The sequence below is a fragment of the Homo sapiens genome, chromosome 1, assembly GCF_000001405.40.
Source record: "Homo sapiens chromosome 1, GRCh38.p14 Primary Assembly".
NCBI classification, from domain to species: Eukaryota; Metazoa; Chordata; class Mammalia; order Primates; family Hominidae; genus Homo; species Homo sapiens.
In genome coordinates, this window is record NC_000001.11 from 118,515,860 (window position 1) to 118,518,885 (window position 3,026).

The window sequence follows — 3,026 nt, forward strand, 5'->3', positions numbered from 1 at the left end:
TAGCAACGATGGTCTTTAAGATTTGCGATGTTTTTGCAGTGACTGGTACTGGTTGTTTCTTTCCATGTTTAGTGTTTCCTTCAGGAACTCTTGTAAGGCAGGCCTGATGGTGACAAAATCTCTCAGCATTTGCTTATCTGTAAAGGATTTTATTTCTCCTTCACTTATGAAGCTTAGTTTGGCTGGATATGAAATTCTGGGTTGAAAATTCTTTTCTTTTAGGATGTTGAATATTGGCCCCCACTCTCTTCTGGCTTGTAGGGTTTCTGCTGAGAGATCTGCTGTTAGTCTAATGGGCTTCCCTTTGTGGGTAACTTGACCTTTCCCTCTGGCAGCCCTTAACACTTTTTCATTCATTTCAACACTGGCAAATCTGACAATTATGTGTCTTGGGGTTGCTCTTCTTGAGGATTATCTCTGTGTTGTTCTCTGTATTTCCTGAATTTGAATGTTGGCTGGCCTTGCTAGGTTGGGGAAGTTCTCCTGGATAATATCCTGAAGAGTGTTTTCCCACTTGGTTCCATTCTCCCCATCACTTTCAGGTACACCAATCAAATGTACATTTGGTCTTTTTATATAGTCCCAAATTTCTTGGAGGCTTTGTTCATTTCTTTTTACTCTTTTCTCTCTAGCCTTGTCTTCTTACCTTATTTCATTAATTTGATCTTCAATCACCGATACCCTTTCTTCCGCTTGATTGAATCAGCTATTGAAGCTTCTGCATGCGTCACGAAGTTCTTGTGCCATGGTTTTCAGCTCCATCAGGTCATTTAAGGTCTTCTCTACACTGTTTACTCTAGTTAGTCATTCGTCTAATCTTTTTTTCAAGGTTTTTAGCTTTCTTTCAATGGGTTTGAACATCTTTCTTTAGCTCAGAGAAGTCTGTTAATACCAACCTTCTGAAGCCTACTTCTGTCAATTTGTCAAAGTCATTCTCCGCCCAGCTTTGTTCTGTTGCTGGCGAGGAGCTGCGATCCTTTGGAGGAGAAGAGGCACTCTGATTTTTAGAAATTTCAGCTTTTCTGCTCTGATTTATCCCCATCTTTGTGGTTTTATCTACCTTTGGTCTTTGATGATGGTGACCCACAGATGGGTTTTTGGTGTGGATGTCCTTTTTGTTGATGTTGATGCTATTCCTTTCTGTTGTTAGTTTTCCTTCTAATAATCAGATGCTTCAGCTGCATGTCTGTTGGAGTTTTCTGGAGGTCCACTCCACATCCTGTTTGCTTGGGTATCACCAGCAGAGGCTGCTGAACAGCAAATATTGTAGAACAGCAAATATTGCTGCCTGATCCTTCCTCTGGAACGTTCATCCCAGAGGGGCGGCTGCCTACATAAGGTGTCTGTCAGCCCCTACTGGGAGGTGGCTCCCAGTTAGGCTACGTGGGGGTCAGGGACCCACTTCAGGAGGCAGTCTGTTCTTTCTCAGAGCTCAAACGCAGTGCTGGGAGAACCGCTGTCTGCTGTCAATCAGGGACGTTTAAGTCTGCAGAAGCCGTCTGCTGCCTTTTGTTCAGCTATATCCTGCACACAGAGGTGGAGTCTAGAGGCAGTAGGCCTTGTTGAGCTGCGGTGGGTTCTGCCCAGTTTGAGCTTCCTGGTGGCTTTGTTTACCTACTCAAGTCTCAGTAATTGCAGACGCCCCTCCCCAAGCCAGGCTGCCGCCTTGCAATTCTATCTCAGACTGCTGTGCTACCAGTTAGCAAGGCTCTGTGGGTGTGGGACCCATCAAGCCAGGCATGGGAGATAATCACCTTGTCAGCTGGTTGCTAAGACCTTGGGAAAAGCAGAGTATTTGGGCTGGAGTGTCCCGTTTTTCCAGGTAATCTGTCACAGCTTCCTTTGGCTAGGAAAGGGAAATCCCCCGACCCCTTGTGCTTCCCAGGTGAGGGGATTCCCTGACTTGTGTCAGCTCGTCCCCTGTGGGCTGCACCCACAGTCCAACCCGTCCCAATGAGATGAACCAGGTACCTCAGTTGGAAATGCAGAAGTCACTCGTCTTCTGCGTTGATCCTGCTGGGAGCTGCAGACCTGAGCTGTTCCTATTCGGCCATCTTGGAACACCCCCGACATAAAGCATTTTTCATTTACCTGTTAGCCATTTGTATGTCTTCTTTGGAGAAGTGTCTATTCATATTTTTTGCTTATTTTTAAGTCAAATTGTTTGGATTTTTTGCTACTGAGTTATTTGTGTTCCTTAGATATTTTGGATATTAACCTCTTGTCAGATATATAATTTGCAAATATCTTCTCTTATTCTGTAGGTTATCTATTCACTCTGTTGTTTCCTTTGCTGTTCAGAGACAATTTGACGTAATATGATTTGTCTATTTTTGCATTTGCTGCCTGTGCTTTTGAGGTCTTTGAAAAATTACTGTCCACACCAATGTTATAAAGCATTTATTTACCCAATGTTTTCTTCCAGGAGTTTTATAGTTTCGAGTTTTATAGTTATATAGTTTTATAGTTTCAAGTCTTAAATTTAAGTCTTTAATCCATTTTGAGTTGATTTTTTAATATGGTGAGAATATGGTGAGAGATAAGGGTCTAATTTCATTCTTCTGAATGTGGATATCCAGTTTTCCCAAAACCATTTATTGAAGAGACTCTCCTTTCTCAATGTATGTTCTTGACATCTTTGTCAAAAATGAGTTGGATATAAATGCATGGATTTCTATTTGGGCTCTCTGGTCAGTTCCATTGGTCTATATGTCTGTTTTTATGCCAGTATCATGCTGTTTGGTTACTATAACTTTGTATACTTTTAAAAAAATTCTTTTTTGACAAGTCATGATGGATATAGTATACTTTCACATAAGGCAATATGATGCCTCCAGCTTTGTTATTTATGTTGAAGATGGTTTTGAGTACTAAGGGTCTTTTGTGGTTCCCCTACACATTTTAGGACTTTTTTCTATTTCTGTGAAGAATGTCATTGTGACTTTGATAGAGATTGCATTAAATCTGTTGATATTTTTGGGTAGTATGGACGTTTTAGCTATATTAATTCTTCCAGTCTCTGAACA

The 3,026-nt window shown here is 41.4% G+C and overlaps 1 annotated feature.

The window, feature by feature from the left end:
* Positions 1,145-1,646: an enhancer, noted in NCBI's record as "H3K27ac hESC enhancer chr1:119059627-119060128 (GRCh37/hg19 assembly coordinates)". NCBI's record gives its function as "activates a minimal SCP1, AML or CMV promoter by ChIP-STARR-seq in naive H9 embryonic stem cells {active_cell/tissue: H9 hESC(naive)}" and the evidence as "EXISTENCE:reporter gene assay evidence [ECO:0000049][PMID:30033119]".